Here is a 15,092-nt window from a genome sequence, read left to right as displayed (position 1 = left end):
CGCATTCCTGTTTCATAATCTATAGAACCATGGTTCATCCTGGGGTCCACATCAGACTCATCTTAGGAGCTTCTTAAAGAGATGTCTCACCCCCTGAGATGGATTCATGTGGTGTGGTGTGAGGTCCAAGAGTCTGCCTTTAAGAAACTCCCCAGCTCACTCTCATACACAGCCAAGGTTGAGAGTCACTAAGAATTATAATGATCCAGGCCAAGTGCAGTGGCTCATGCCTGTAATCCCAGCTCTTTGAGAGGCCAAGGTGGGCGGATCACCTGAGGTCAGGAGTTTGAGACCAGCCTGACTAACATGGTGAAACCCTGTCTCTACTAAAAATACAAAAATTAGCCGGGCGTAGTGGCGGGCACCTGTAATCCCAGCTACTTGGGAGGCTGAGGCACAAGAATTGCTTGAACTCAGGAGGTGGAGGTTGCAGTGAGCTGAGATCACACCATTGCATTCCACCCTGGGCGACAGAGTGAGATTCCATCTCAAAAAAAAAAAAAAATTATAATGATCCAAAGAACCCTCTATCCACAATTTCCATATTCAAAAAGTTTTGAAAAACAAAACAAAACAAAAACCCAAATTTGGTGGCAAAACTTGAAATTTTGTGAAACTATTTAGAAACAATTTAGCTCATATACTGTGGTTCTTTTTCTTTTCTTTCTTTCTTTCTTCTTCTTTATTTTTTAGAGATGGGGCTCTCGCTATGTTGCCCTGGCTGGTTTTGAACTCCTTGATCACTCAAGTGATCCTCCTGCCTTGGCCTCCCAAAGGGTTGGAATTACAGGCTTGAGCTATCATGTCCAGCCCACCTACTGTGAATAGTCATAGATTTTGCTGTAGAAATATCAATGTGATTGATTATGGGAAGCGACTCCACACCCCACTGGGGTGACGTGTAACACTTATGGAACATGCTCCGAGTTGTCCTTCTGATAGCCAGGCACATTTGGACTCAGGAACTTGGAAAGGGAACTGTGGACTCTGGGCTATAGTTGATGATGGCTGACTTTCTAGACTGTGTCCATGTGCTGGGCTGGAGAGAAGTACTTTACGCGCTGTCTTCTCAAATCCTCATTACCTGGGAAGAAGGCATAATTTCCAAACACATTTCATAAGGAGGAAATCAGAGCTCAGAGAGAGAAGTAACTGGCCCAAGGTCTGACAGCTAGAAAGTAGGAAGGATGGAGTTCCACCCAGGCAGGCCCCAAAGCCCCTTCATTTCACAGCCTTGGTCCTTAAGTGGAAACATCATTTGAGGGATGGTGCCTGTGGCATCTGTGTGTGCTGCTAGTTGGGGTGAAGACCAGGTCTGCATGGCTTACCATCGGCTCCTGGGACCCAGCAGGGTGTCTGGTGTGTGCTGGGGGCCCAGAGTTCCCTTGGGCCAGGGTGGCAAAGCTGGCGCACTTGTCCCCTTTCCTCGGAGACCTGCATTTGGCCAGGTGCCCTGTGCCTTGGCCATCCTTCAAGCCCGAGGGACAGATTTAGTGCCCTTAATCCTCCTCTTCAGTCAAGCCCCTGCTTGTCACCGGCCTGCCTGGGACCCTTGGAGCAGCCCTCCTGGTGAGGCCTGTCTCTCCAGTCTCAAAGGCCTGAGCTCTACCCGTAGAAAGGAGCCGAACAAAGGTACCTCAGTCTGGGTCTGTGGAGCGGGTGCTGGACTGGGAATCCACCTGGCCGTTTTGTTCCTACTAGCTGGGTGACCACGTGGCAGATTGGGAAGTGGCCATAATACTTGACAGCCCTCCCCGTCAAGAGGCAGGATGCATCTGGGCTGACCCTGTGTCTTGCTTGGGGTAAGAGAATGTGGTGGGAACATGGGTGCCTAGAGGCCTCTCAGCTTCTGCTCTTGACACCAAGAGTAGCTGAGATTACAGGCGCCTGCCAACACACCCGGCTAATTTTTGTATTTCCCTTGCCATGGGGACCAGAGGCCATGTGGGGGGAGGCCCACCCGCTGACTACCTGCTCATAAGGAGCCCCTCCAGGCCAGCAGCAGACCCACCCAACTGAGCCAAGCCCAGACGGCCAACCTGCAGAACTGACAGCCAAATAGATCTTTATTGTTGAAACCCCTTACTTTCTGGATAGCTTGTTACACAGATTAAGCTAACAAACACCTTCCACTCCAATCCTCTCTAGGCTGGTGAGGAGTAAATAAGATGACACTTTGGACAGTGCCCGGCACAAAGGATGCCCAATAAATGCTGATATTCTCCTGCTTCTGTGTCAAAATACTTGTTATCGACCCAAAGAAAAGGAAGGAAGCCTCTCCTCATGGTGATTTTTACTACTATTACATTTCACCCGGGACTGGTTCCCTTCTCCTTGCCTTGGTTAAGGGAGAGGCTCCTGTTGGTGCTTTGGGGTTAGATGTCCCTCAGGAAAGCCTTCCTTGACCAGGGTGTTAGACCATGGGGAACTCACAAGAACACCCAGGAAAAGCATTCATTAAGAGAGACAAGAATTCCAACTTCAAAGGAGTCAGTCTCAGAAGAGGAGCTCATAAAAAAGCCTGAAGAGGAATGGCAGGAGGCTGAAGGAAACCAGAAGACGGAGTGTCATGGAAGCCAAAAGAAGAGCGTGGGAATCAGGAGGGAGGGAGGTGAACAGAGTCGAAGGAAGGTTCAGTGCAAGAGGATTAACAGGTGATGTGGATGTGCCTACCTGGAGATCAGCCCTCCCTGGCCCTAGCGAGATGGGATTCCATGGAGTGGAGGTGCTGGAAGTGGCTCAAGGAGGAAGCCACATGCACACGTGAAGGGCTGAAGCACATGCATATTATGTTTTCAAACACTGTCTTATGTATGTGTTTCTTCAGCTTCCGTCCAGGATTGCCTTCTGTGCTAGGGACTGGGGGTGGCAGAAGTAAATGGGACAGTCTGCGCATTTCTCTAAGAGATGTGAGGTCCATCAGGAAACACAAAGATGAAGGAGGAATGAATAAATGACAGATGATGAGTGAAGTCTCACTGGGGACCCCACCAAGGGACCCCAGCACAGAGAGTAGGGCAGCCCCACTGGCATGTCTGAGCTGTGTGATCTTGGGCAAACGACCTCACCGCATGGGCCTCTGCGTCCTCACCTAGATCGTGGAGCTGGGACAGTGCCCAGCACTTTAGGCTCTTTGGTAAGGAGGAGCGGTGAGATCCCACAAAGGGACAATGCTGTGGGTGTGAGCGGCTCCCCTTGGCCGGCAAAGCCTCCAGGGAGCTCTGCGCTTCACCTTTTTTTATTTTTATAAAGCATGTCTGGGCGGGTGTGGTGGCTCACGCCCTGTAATCTCAGCGCTTTGGAAGGCCTAGGCAGGTGGATCACGAGGTCAGGAGTTCAAGACCAGCCTGACCAAGGTAGTGAAACCCCGTCTCTACCAAAATACAAAAATTAGCCGGGTGTGTTGGCAGGCACCTGTAATCTCAGCTACTCAGGAGGCTGAGGCAGGAGAATTGCTTGAACCTGAGAGGCAGAGGTTGCAGTGAGCCGAGATCGCACCACTGCACTCCAGCCTGTGCGACAGAGCAAGACTCCATCTCAAAACAAACAAATAAACAAAAACCATGTCTGACCAGGTGGATGCCTAGTTTTATGTTTCTTTTTAGAAAGAAAAAGGAAGTGGAGAAAGGCTTACATGGTGGGGGGTGGGGGGAGGCAGGAGGAAGGAGAGGATGGGGGTAATGGCAGCAGCAATGTTGTCTTTGTTGGCCATCAATTCGTTTAATCCTCACAATAGCCTAATGAGACTAGTGCTATTATTAGCCCCACTTTGCCAACAAGGAAATAATCTACCTGGGAGTGGGTCAGAGGCAGGACTGGAATCCTGGCTGCCTGACTCCAGAGGAGGCACAGAGTTGGTGCCTGTCTGTGCAGACAGCGCCAAGGATCAGGAGCTCACAGCCTTGTGCAACAAAGGGTTGAGCCCTACCTTCTCGAGTTGTCTAGGGGCCTCCCATCTCTTGGTGCTTTCCTGCTTCTCTTTTTTTGAGATGGAGTCTGGCTCTGTCACCCAGGCTGGAGTGTAGTGGCACGATCTTGGCTCACTGCAACCTCTGCCTCCTGGGTTCAAGAGATTCTCCTGCCTCAGCCTCCCGAGTAGCTGGGATTAGAGGCATGCATCACCACACCCAGCTAATTATTTTGTATTTTTAATAGAACCAAGGTTTCATCATGTTGGCTAGGCTGGTCTCGAACTCCTGACCTCAGGTGATCCTCCCGCCTCAGCCTCCCACAATGCTGGGATTATAGGCATGAGTCACCACGCCTGGCCGCTTCCTGTTCCTTCTTAGGGCTTCAAGGCACCAGGTGGTCAGTCCCAACTCAGTCTCTCCCCCAGGCCCCTGCCACCTTTGGAGACTGTCCTAATAGGCGCCCAAGACCCTAGCCCTGACTTGGGTCCTACCTCCCTGCCAGCAAAACTGGCCTGTCCTGTGTTCCAGGCTCAGGGCCACAGCTGGGCCAGGGCTCCCTGCTGTGGTCATTTCTAGCAAGGGGGCAGGAAGGGAATGGTCATGAGAGTGTGGCTCCTGGGAGTCCCACTAGGCCATGTCCTGGGTGCTTGGGCCTTCTCTGTGAAATGACATCCTGGCCAGGACCCCAACTCACAGGGCTCAGCACCTGTTCCTTAGGGCTCTCCCCTTCCTCCAGCCCTTTTGGGCACGATCACTGCAAAGGCTGAGGGGTGGGCTCTCAGGCCCGGGGCTAGGGGCTAGGAACAGCTTGATGCTTTGAGCGGGCACCAGCCAGCCTCCCAGTGGCTCCCTGGAATCTTGTGGGAAAAGCACCTGTGTGTGAGCATAGAATGTGCCATGGAAGATGCCAGCCATGGCCCGGGAGAGTTAGAGGCACTGTGATCCTGTTCAACTCAGTCATTGCCTTGGGTCAGGGGTGGAGCTGACTTCAGAGCTGGGCCAGGCTGACCCCTCTGTCAGGAAAGCTACAGCTTCGTGGGCATGGGGGCCTTGCCCAAGACCACACACAGGTGAGTGGAGGGGAGGGGAGGAGGGGTTCATCAGCGTGGTCCTTTCCAGGCATAGCAGTAGCGCTGATATTGCCACCCCAGAGCTTGGAGCCAGGGAGAAGGCTGTTCCCTCTTTCTGCAGTGCTGTTCCCACAGGCCCCCTGCGCAACCTCCGCCTCATGCTGGCAGCTCACAGGACTGTCTCCCAACCTCCCCGGTCCGTCTTCCCTCACCTCCTCTCTACCTCCCAGGGTCTTTCCTGAAGATCTCCATGGCTGTTTCTTCAGGCTCTGTGGGGACTTTCTGCATCCCCTCTCCAGGGCAAAGTTCACACTGAAGCTGTGCTTGCCGTGTGTTGATGCGTGTCACCCTCCGGACAGCTCCATAAGTGCAGGCTCTACCCTCCCTCCGTAAAATGTGGTCTCCACGCCCCCTGCCACGGGGCCATGTGGACCTCCCATGGTCCACCTGGATCAGTGTGGGGAAAGAGCCTGGAGCAGACCTCGTGCCCGGCCAGGGCCCAGCATATGTGGACACTGTCACTGTGACTGCTAAGGTCCCAGTTGCACAGACAGGGAATGGGCTCCAGGGGCAGAGGACAAAGCTCATCAGGACAGAGCTGGTGGGGTGCAGCAGGGGTGTTCTGGCTCCCAAGTCCACCAGGACCACGCTGTTAACCTTTCCACGATTTGGCTTTCACCCATTTACTGCATTCAGTGGATGTTGGCCCAGTGGCGTGGGAATCTGAGACTGAGATATTGCACGTTTGATTTAGGGTAGGCAGAACTTTCCATCTGTGCTATGAAGTGCTGATGTGGGTTGCCAGGGACAGAAGGGACTTCCTTCCTGGGTGGCTTTCTCCCAAAAGAAATGGCCCCACAAGCCTCAGCCTCCAGAGCTGTCTCTGAGTCTCCCCTCTGTGTCCACAGCCCTGCACCAGCCTCCTCCATGGTCTCCTGGTCTCCTGGTCTCCATCTCACTCCTCTGGTACTCTCAGCTTCTCTAAGATGCTTCTGCCCTTATCCCTATAATCTTCAGCAGCTCCTCTTTGCCTGTGAAACAGAGAACAGTACTCCAGCACTCCGGTGGCCTTCAGATCTGGCCCCACCCTCCTTTCCAGCTCTCCTCCTCCTTCTTCTTGCCCACATGTGCCTGGTGCTCTGCCCTCCTTGTCCTTGCTCCCTCTGTGCCCCACCTGACACTTTCTCCACCTCCACTGAAATCCGCTCCACGCTCCAAGCACCGAGCACTACCCCTCTCCGTGAAGCCTTGCTGTATCTCCCCGCCCAGCGGAACCTCTCACACACCAGGTTCTGCCCATCCTGCCCTCGCAGACTTTCCACTTACAGAGATTTGAGGCTTGGACCAGCCAGGAGTGGGAAGTCATTCCACCACTCTGATTTTCTATTGCCCCATCTGGAGAATAGGGTTTGAGGCCACCAGCTGTTCCCCACACCTGCTGGAAGGCCCAGATGCAAAAGAGCCTCACCATCTCCAAGTTTCAGAAATGCACTATGTCCACCCCTGGCCTTGTCTTCCAGTGGCCGCCCCCTTTCCTCTTGGCCAAGAGAACTCTTATTTAGGGGGAGGGGTAATAGGCACCACCACAGGGGACCTATCTGTATTGGTTCAGCAGTACCAGCCATCCCATTCTCTGTGGCCAACAACAGGCCTGTGGTGGGCATGGGACTAGGTTCTGGCCAATGAGACATAAGAGAAAGTCTGCGTGGGGCCTTTTGGGAAAGATTTCCCATCTGGAGAAAAGAGGGATTCCTCTTTGTGCAGGGGGAGCATCCATTTCCCCACTTCTCCCAGCTCCAGGGTTGACCAGTGAGAAAGTTATGTGCGTGCGTGCCTGCATGCGTGACTGTGTGTATATGTGTGTGCCTGTGTGTGCATGTGTGCCTGTGTGTGTGTAGGGAGGTTTTGGGGGCAGGGAGAACGAGGGAGAGATTGAAGGGGCTGAGATCAGAGGAGGCAGGGGCTGGATGACATAGCCTCACAGGCCATAGCCAGGACCTTAAATTTTATTCATTGTACCCTCAACCCTTTTTAATAAAAATGTCCTAAAATATAGAAAAATTTAAAGACTATAGAATAAGCACTCATATATACCCAACCTAGGTTCCACCACTGTTCATATTTTGGTGCATTGCCCTTTTTTTGCCTAGCCATTGGAAGGTAACTTGCAAACTTCGTGCCTCCTACTTCTACATATTGTTCATGTGTCTTTTAAAGGCAAGGTTGTTCCTCCATCTAAGCAAAATACCATTATTACCAGAGAAAATCAAATTCAAATACCTCCCTAATAGTCAACCCATATTCAAATCCCAAAATGTTTCAGATACCTGGGTTAGCTGGTGGACTTCCTTCCTCCCTCCCTCCCTCCCTCATTTCCTTCCTTCCTTCCTCCCCTGCTCCCTCCCTCCCTTCCTTCCTTTCCTCCTCTCTCTCTTCCTTCCTCCATCCCTCCCTTCTTTCCTTCCTTCCTTCTTCGCTGTCTTATTCCCTCCCTTCATTTCTTTCCTAGGATCTAGTGAAAATTTACATGTTGCACTTGATTGCTATGTCACTTTAAATTCTTTTAAACTCAGATAGTCTCCCACTCATTATCCTTGACATTGACTTTTTATTTGATTTATTTTATTTTGAGATAGGGTCTCACTCTGTCACCCAGGCTGGAGTGCAGTGCTGCGATCACAGCTCACTGCAGCATCACACTCCTAGACTCAAGCCATCCTCCCGCCTTAGCCTCCTAGGAAGCTGGGGCTACAGGTGTGCACCATCATGCTTGGGTAATTTTTTTTTTTTTTTGAGACAGAGTCACACTCTGCTGCCCACGATGAAGTGCAGTGGCACAATCTCAGCTCACTGCAACCTCCACCTCTGGGGTTCAAGCGATTCTCCTGTCTCAGTCTCCTGAGTAGCTAAGATTACAGTGCCTGCCACCATGCCTGGCTAATTTTTGTATTTTTAGTAGAGACGGGGTTTCACCATGTTGGCCAGGCTGGTCTCAAACTCCTGACCTCAGGTGATCCACCCGCCTCGGCCCCGCAAAGTGCTGGCATTACAGGCGTGAACAACCATGCCCAGCCAATTTTTTGTTTTTAAATTGTTTGTGGGCCAGGTGCAGCGGCTCATGCCTGTAATCCCAGCACTGTGAGAGGCAGAGACAGGTGGATCACTTGAGTCCAGGAGCTCAAGACCAGCCTGGGCAACATGACGAAACCACGTCTCTACAACAAATACAAAATTTAGCCGGGCGTGATGGTGCATGCCTGTAGCCTCAGCTACTTGAGAGGCTGAGGTGGGAGGATCACTCGAGCCCAGGAGGTGGGGGTGGCAGGGAGCTGAGACTGTGCCATTGCACTCCAGCCTGGGCAACAGAGCAAGACCACTGTCTCAAAAAAAAAAAAAAAAAGATCTGGGCTCAAGCGATCCTTCTGCCTCAGCCTCCAATGAACCACTGCACCTGGCCCTGACATAGACTTTTTAAAAAGCTTATTTATTTGATTATTTTTTAAAAATATTGAGATGTGCCAGACATATAGGGAACAAATCTTAAATGTGCAGCTCAGGAATTTGTACATGTGTAATCACCCAGATCAAGATACAGAACATTTCCAGCCTCCCAGAAGGTCCTTCTGGCTCCTGCCAGGCAATCCCTACCCCCGCCTGAGGCACCCACAGATCCTCATTTCTATCAGCACAGATTGGTTTAGGCTGTCCTAGAACTTCATGGAAATGGAACATGCAGTGTGTACACTGTGTCCAAGGCCTCTTTTGCTCAGACAAAGTGAGCGCTTCTCCACATTGTGGAGTGTGTCCTGCAGCCTTTTGAGCTGAACCGTAGGCACTCTGTAGATGAAGCACAGTTTACCCATTCTCCCACTGAGGGCTATTTGGGGTGTGTTTGGCAACTGTGACTCTAAAGAAGAGTCCAGGACAGTTGTGGTATCTGATGGTTTCCTTACAGTGACTTTTAATGGGTTCTGCCTCCCTGACTTTATATAAAGAGAAATGCCTTGAATAAGTTGAGCCCAAGTGTGGCTGTGTCTTCCTTATATCTCATGCCACCAAGAGGCCCAAAATGTCAGGTGGTCCCAATGATTTCAGATTGGTCATGTGGTGACCCCCCAGATCTCTCCACTCTAAAGGCAAGTTTTCATTTTTATGTCAAGGTCAGTGGAGGGTTTCGAGCAGCCAAGACATGATCTGATTTATCATTTGTAGAGACCCTGCTGAGCTCCATTTGCAGAATGGATTGTAAGGCTCGGGGCAAGGTCAGGAGCAGGAAGACCTGTGAGGAGCCTACTGCACCAGTTCCAGCAGGCGATGATGGTTCCACAGTGAAGTGGCTGGGTTCTGAGTAGTATGGTGCTACTCCTAGCACCTGCATACAGAAGGAGCTCAGTCAATGTTAGTTGCCTGAGCTGATCTTCCAGAGGATGGAGATCATGGCCAGTTCACCTTTGTGTGCCCAGCCTGGGGCCTGGCAGAGAAGATGTGCTGGTCCTACTTGGGTGTGCTTGCATTCGGGGAAACCTTGGCTTATCAGGTTTGACGCCGAGATACAGAAACAGAACAAATGGTGACCAGGCAGGCCTTGCAGCAGCTTCTGATTAGGAACATGCTCAACCCCTCCTTTCTGAACACTATGAATCACTGGGGAGGCCCAGTGTCTCTCCTCTGCCTTTAGGGAGCACTATGCATGTCACCCCAGAGTGACAAACAATGTCTGCCTCTTGGGAACACAAAGTTCCCAGCTGGGGGCTGGAACAGAGAACTCTCTCCCCTGCCTAGGGCTCAGGCTTACACCTCCCTGCCTTTGTCTGGGAGGTGAGGATCAGGCCTCTGCGGCCCTGTGTGTGATCTTTACTTGGCTGGCCATCCTCTAGCAACCTGGGGCAGCCTCTGCCTGAAATCCTGCTGGCCCCAAGGGACATGGTTGGAGCTCAGGTTTTTCATATCAGTTACCTATCACTGTGTAACAAATTGCCCCAAACAGAAAGACTCAAAACCATAACTCTTTGTTATATTCTGTGGTCAGGAATTTGGGAGTGGCTTAGCTGGGTGTTTCTGCTTGGGGGTGTGGGGTGGTCTCTCATGGGTCACTGTCAAGGTGTCAGAGGGGGCTGCTGCCATCAGGAGGCTTGCCTGGGGCCAGAGGCTCTGCTGTCCAGGCAGCTCACTCACAAAACTGGGAGTCGGTGCTAGCTGTTGGTGGGAGGACTCAGTTCCTCTGCACAGGGTGCCAGACCCGTGGCTTCCCCTAAAGGAAGTGGTTCCAGAGAGTGGGGCAGAAGCTGCAATGCCTATATGACTTAACCTCGGAAGTCACATACCATCATTTCTGCAATATCCTATGGGTCACACAGGTCAGTCCCCTTCAGTGTGGGAGGGGCCCACACAGGGTGTGGCTGTCAGGAGGTGAGAATACCCAGGACCTAGCTTGCAGGCACACAGGCATCAGATGGCAAAGAACAGGAAAGAGCCTCACCAGCCCTCTAGCCTCCTTGCCCATTCTCCAGGCATCCTGTATGCCAGGCACCATGCTAGGCCTTGGGCATCCAGTGGTGAAGCAAGCAGGCCTGGCCTCATGGAGTTTCCAGTTAAGCCCAGAACTCTCTCCATGCAGAAGATTCATTCAGTGAACAGAGCCCTATGCACCGCGCAAGGATGAACGCAGCCACCAAAGCCTGAAGCAGCCTCTTTAGCAAGAGTACTGCACACAGCCAAGTCTCAGATTCACAACCAGAGGTGCCAGGAAAGCTGGGCTGAAGGGCAGCAGGACCTCAGAGAACAGAGAAAGCTGGATCAGAGGGAGTCAAACACACATTCTTTCCCTGAAGGAATCAGGGAAGGCCCAGGAGGAGGTAGCATTTGAGCTGGTTTTGATGTCCAGGAGAATTTAGGCAAGTAGGGGACAGTGTCACATGGGGGGTTAGGGCCTCTGACCTCATGGGGTTAAAGTTATGATGCTGAGTCTGGGAGAGGGCCTAGAGATGACCTTGAGATAAATACCAATAGTAAAGGTAGCTTCATCCAGCCAAGCAATTTCCACACATCATCTTCCTGCTGCGGGCCCATCATACACCCATTTAGCACATGAGGAAACAAGGGTCACAGCTCAAAGCACCGGTCAAGGTCACAGAGCCAGGCCAAGCCAGGGCCAGGCCTATTCTCCGCCCTTGTAAGTGGGCACCCAGATCCCAGATGCAGGTGTGGCAGCTCTCAGCCCAGCTCCCAGAAACATGTCGGGCTTCTGGTGCTGGATGGGCCTCTCTTCTCCCCGGGCAGCAGACGCCTCAGGCCAGGGCTTCACAACAGTGGGAGGGGGTGGGTGGACTCAAGTGTGGGTCAGCCTCCGTGTTCAAGGTCAGCCATGTGACTGATTAGTGGGGCCTGTGAGTTGCACGGGAAGGGATTTGCAGGGATTGCTATGGAGTGAAGTGTCTTCAGACCTGACCTCTTTCCATGGGGGTAGCTACAGAGGCCTGGCTTACTAGTGGGCTAATGAGCTCTGGGGCCCCAAGTCTCAGGCTCGCCACACAGACCCCCACCCCCAGTCCGCCTCGAAAGTTAGTGATGACCTCAGTTGTTTCCACTGCTGGAGGAGTGTCTCAGTGCACCAGGCACTGCACAGAGGGCTTTATGTGTATGCATGACTGCCTTGAATCCTCTCAACACTCCATGCAGGGATTATTTCCCCACTTCACAGATGAGGAAACTGAGGCTTGGCAAGGTTAAGTAGTTGCCTGAAGGCACATGCAACCCCTAAGCAAGTCCTGTCAAAATACACCTCCAAAACAGCACTTATCCCCATTATCTCTCAGCTGGACAGCTGGAGAGAGGAGGACTACTGATGCTGAACAGGTCAAATTTTAACAAACCTGTATCTTGGATCGGTTGAACATAGACCTACCAGGCTGGGAGTGGTGTCTCATGCCTGTAATCCCAGCACTTTGGGAGGCCGAGGTGGGCGGATCACCTGAGGTCAGGGGTTTGAGACCAGCCTGGCCAACATGGTGAAACCCCATCTCTACTAAAAATACAAAAATTAGCCAGGTGTGGGCCCAGGCACCTGTAATCTCAGCTACTTGGGAGGCTGAGGCATGGGAATCTCTTGAACCCGGGAGACGGAGGTTGCAGGGAGCTGAGATTGTGCCACTACACTCCGGCCTGGGCGACAGAGTGAGACTCTGTCTCAAAACAAAAACAAAAACATACACCTACCTATGCCTCCGTGTCTTCACCAAAGCTAACCACTGTCTGGAACTTGATGCTTCTTGTTCAAAGTATATTTTTATTCTTTTACTATTAATACATATGAATGTATTGACAAATAATATATACCAAATATGTGTTTTTTAAATCTTCATGTAAAGTGGATCACACTGAATGCCTTCTTCTGGAACTTGCCTTTTCTCCTTCCGTAGTGTTTCTGAGGCTCATGATGCCAGCATGTGTAGCTGCCATTCATGCATTCTCACTGCTGTGTAGTATTTCATGCAAGGCTGCAACCCCTTTTGTTGTTCCTATGTCTGACTCCCTCTGATCCAGGTGGCATGGTTTGGGGTCCTGTGTTACGGGTGGGAAAACTGGGGCTCAGAGAGGTTAAGGAGCCTGTGTGGGGTCAGCCAGCTTCTTAAGGGCATAAAAAACTCTGTTGAGCTCCAAAGGGTGTGGTTCCCAGGCTCCTTTATATTCAATAATATGATCAAAAAGGGGAAGAGACATTCAGTTGGCCTAGCCCTGGGGCCACCTCAGTTCTCAGGGGGTGGCCAAGAAGGGGGGCTTGACCTGGCATCCACTGGGCAGGTGGCCCAGTGGTCAGAAACCACTCCCAGCCCCAAATCCGTCCATGACCTCATTTCACCCTAGAGGTAGCTTGGGGACACAGCATGCAGGCCACAGGGTGGACACTGGCTCCGTAAGACACCTCCTGCCAGGACGCCAAATAGGAGAGTCCTGAGCTGGATGCTACTCTAAGACTCTAAGCCTCAGTTTCCTGACTGATAACACGGGGATCATCACCATACCTGCCCAGAGGAAGGCTGGAACACTGTTCAGGGCATTGAGGTGCCTCTGTCCCAGCTTTGTCTGTTTTTATTCATTCGCTCATTCAACAAGCAAGCACTGGACATCTGTTTAGGGGCAAATGCTACACAGGGCTCTGGGGGGCTGAGAATGACTGAGAATTAGGAGCTAGAATGGGGCAGCAGACAAGCTGTCATCACAGAGAGGGTACTGGCTGTGTGACCCTAGGCCACTCTGCTCCCTCCGCATCTCTTTCCTCCCTTGTGGAATGTGCTTTGGGAGGTGCCTAGACCCTCACCTGGCTATAGGAAGTGGGGCTGTGTCTTTCCTCCTGGGTTCCTAGGCAGAGAGAAGGCTACAAAGCCACTGGTGAGCATCTTGGAGCCTGAAGCTGCCGGCTGCCGGCCCTGTCCCCAAGGTGGGCGGGCCCTGGTAGGTGGCTGTGGACATAGTTGGGCAGTCAGCTCATGCCCCAGACATGCAGGCATGTCACTGCAAGGACAGCCCAAGGAAAACCCCTCCTCCTGCTGTCTCTGCCACCCTCCTCTCTCCTCCTCCCTCCCACTCCCCTGGGTGAGGCAGCTGCTTCTCCCAGAATTTCCGCAGCCTGCCCCGGCTGCCCACCCTGCAAAGACCATCAATCCTTGGTGCCTGCACAGGCCCTGCCCATCCTGGCAGGGGCAGCTGCTGCCAGGGGAGCCTGCCCACCCTCACGTCGCTCAGGCACCAGCTTGACACAAACACAGACCAGGCAGGAAGAGCCAATTCAGGTCACCCTCAGAAACGGCTCAGGGCTCAGGCTGCCCAGGCCCTGAGGGGAAGCCTCCTCGGGGTGTTGCTGAGTGTCAAGGCCCCCACTCCACCCCTGTGGTTTATCTGTTTCAGAAAGACCCCATGGTGAGGGGATATGGGCTGAACAGAGGCCCTACCCCAGCTGGAGAGACGGCAGGTCTATTCAAGAGCCTGGGAATCGGGTCGGACAGCTTGGGTGTTGACATCGGTGCTGCCGCCACTTGGGCTGTGTGACCTCAGGCAGGTTGCCTGCTCTGTCTGAGCCCCGGCGTTCTCTTCTGTCCAGTGAGGACCCCTTGCATGGGGGTGTGGGATTCCATGGGACATGGAGGGGGCAGTGCCCTGCAGAGGGGCTGGCATTGAGGTCAGGAAACAGAGTTTAGGGGCAGGGTGGGGAGTATGTCACATGACTCCAGGATGAACGCCGACAGCAAGGGAAGCGGGACTGGTAAGTGTCAGGGTGTGGAGGTGTGGAGGTGTGGGGGCAGGTGGCAAAGGGAGAGAGCCAGAGAGACAGGGGGAGAGAGAGAGAGAGAGAGAAGGCAGGAGAGCCTAGAGAGACAACAAGTGAGGCAGCCAGGGAGGGGGACATTCTCGCTGTGGGTGGGGCACACTGAACCTTCCTGAAAGAAAGGCTCTTGAGCTGAGCCTGGAGGACTCCATAGAAGGGTTGGGTTTTGGGCTGGGGAGAGGGTCCAGTGAGAAGTTGATTGTGACTGAGGACAGGAGGGTGACATGTCCCCCAAACTGGTGCTTGTCGACGCCAGCAGGCAGACCACTTCCGGAGGGCCCTGAGGATGGTCCCACTGTCCTTCCCCAGCCATGGCCCTCCAAGGGATGGAAAATCATGGATGCAGAGAGACAGGTGGAGGAACTGAGGCACATGTGTAGTATCTACCCCCCTTACAACTTCCTCCGGAATGGTCCAGTTGTTCTCTTCTGCCCTAAAACTTCCTCAGAGTTTATTCTTCACCAGACAGAGCCCTTGGCCCTCACCCGCCAGCCTTGGGTGGGCTGCTGTGTGGAGACCCCAGCAGTCTCGGAGCTGGGTAGGAGGAGGAGGGGCTGCAGAGCCTGGACCCCGTGGGCGGCACACCTCTGGCTGAATCCGTGGGGTGGGGAAATTTCTTACCCTCTCTCACCTGCCGAGCGATCTCAGGCAAGTCTTAAGGCACATCTGGCTTTGACTGCCCATTGGTGGAACAAGGTGGTCTCTGAGGCATTTCCAGCTGCACGTTCTCACTTTTGAGAGCCCCAAATGTCTGTGGCAAAGAACCATGGATATATGTCCCATATCTCA

General features: G+C 52.8%; 3 annotated features.

Annotated features, from left to right (window-relative positions):
- Window positions 4,756-5,281: an enhancer, noted in NCBI's record as "H3K27ac-H3K4me1 hESC enhancer chr3:14424454-14424979 (GRCh37/hg19 assembly coordinates)". NCBI's record gives its function as "activates a minimal SCP1, AML or CMV promoter by ChIP-STARR-seq in naive H9 embryonic stem cells {active_cell/tissue: H9 hESC(naive)}" and the evidence as "EXISTENCE:reporter gene assay evidence [ECO:0000049][PMID:30033119]".
- Window positions 10,722-11,238: an enhancer, noted in NCBI's record as "H3K4me1 hESC enhancer chr3:14418497-14419013 (GRCh37/hg19 assembly coordinates)". NCBI's record gives its function as "activates a minimal SCP1, AML or CMV promoter by ChIP-STARR-seq in naive H9 embryonic stem cells {active_cell/tissue: H9 hESC(naive)}" and the evidence as "EXISTENCE:reporter gene assay evidence [ECO:0000049][PMID:30033119]".
- Window positions 11,239-11,757: an enhancer, noted in NCBI's record as "H3K4me1 hESC enhancer chr3:14417978-14418496 (GRCh37/hg19 assembly coordinates)". NCBI's record gives its function as "activates a minimal SCP1, AML or CMV promoter by ChIP-STARR-seq in naive H9 embryonic stem cells {active_cell/tissue: H9 hESC(naive)}" and the evidence as "EXISTENCE:reporter gene assay evidence [ECO:0000049][PMID:30033119]".

This window comes from Homo sapiens, chromosome 3 (genome assembly GCF_000001405.40).
Source record: "Homo sapiens chromosome 3, GRCh38.p14 Primary Assembly".
NCBI classification, from domain to species: Eukaryota; Metazoa; Chordata; class Mammalia; order Primates; family Hominidae; genus Homo; species Homo sapiens.
This window is presented reverse-complemented; position numbering and strand designations above follow the sequence as displayed.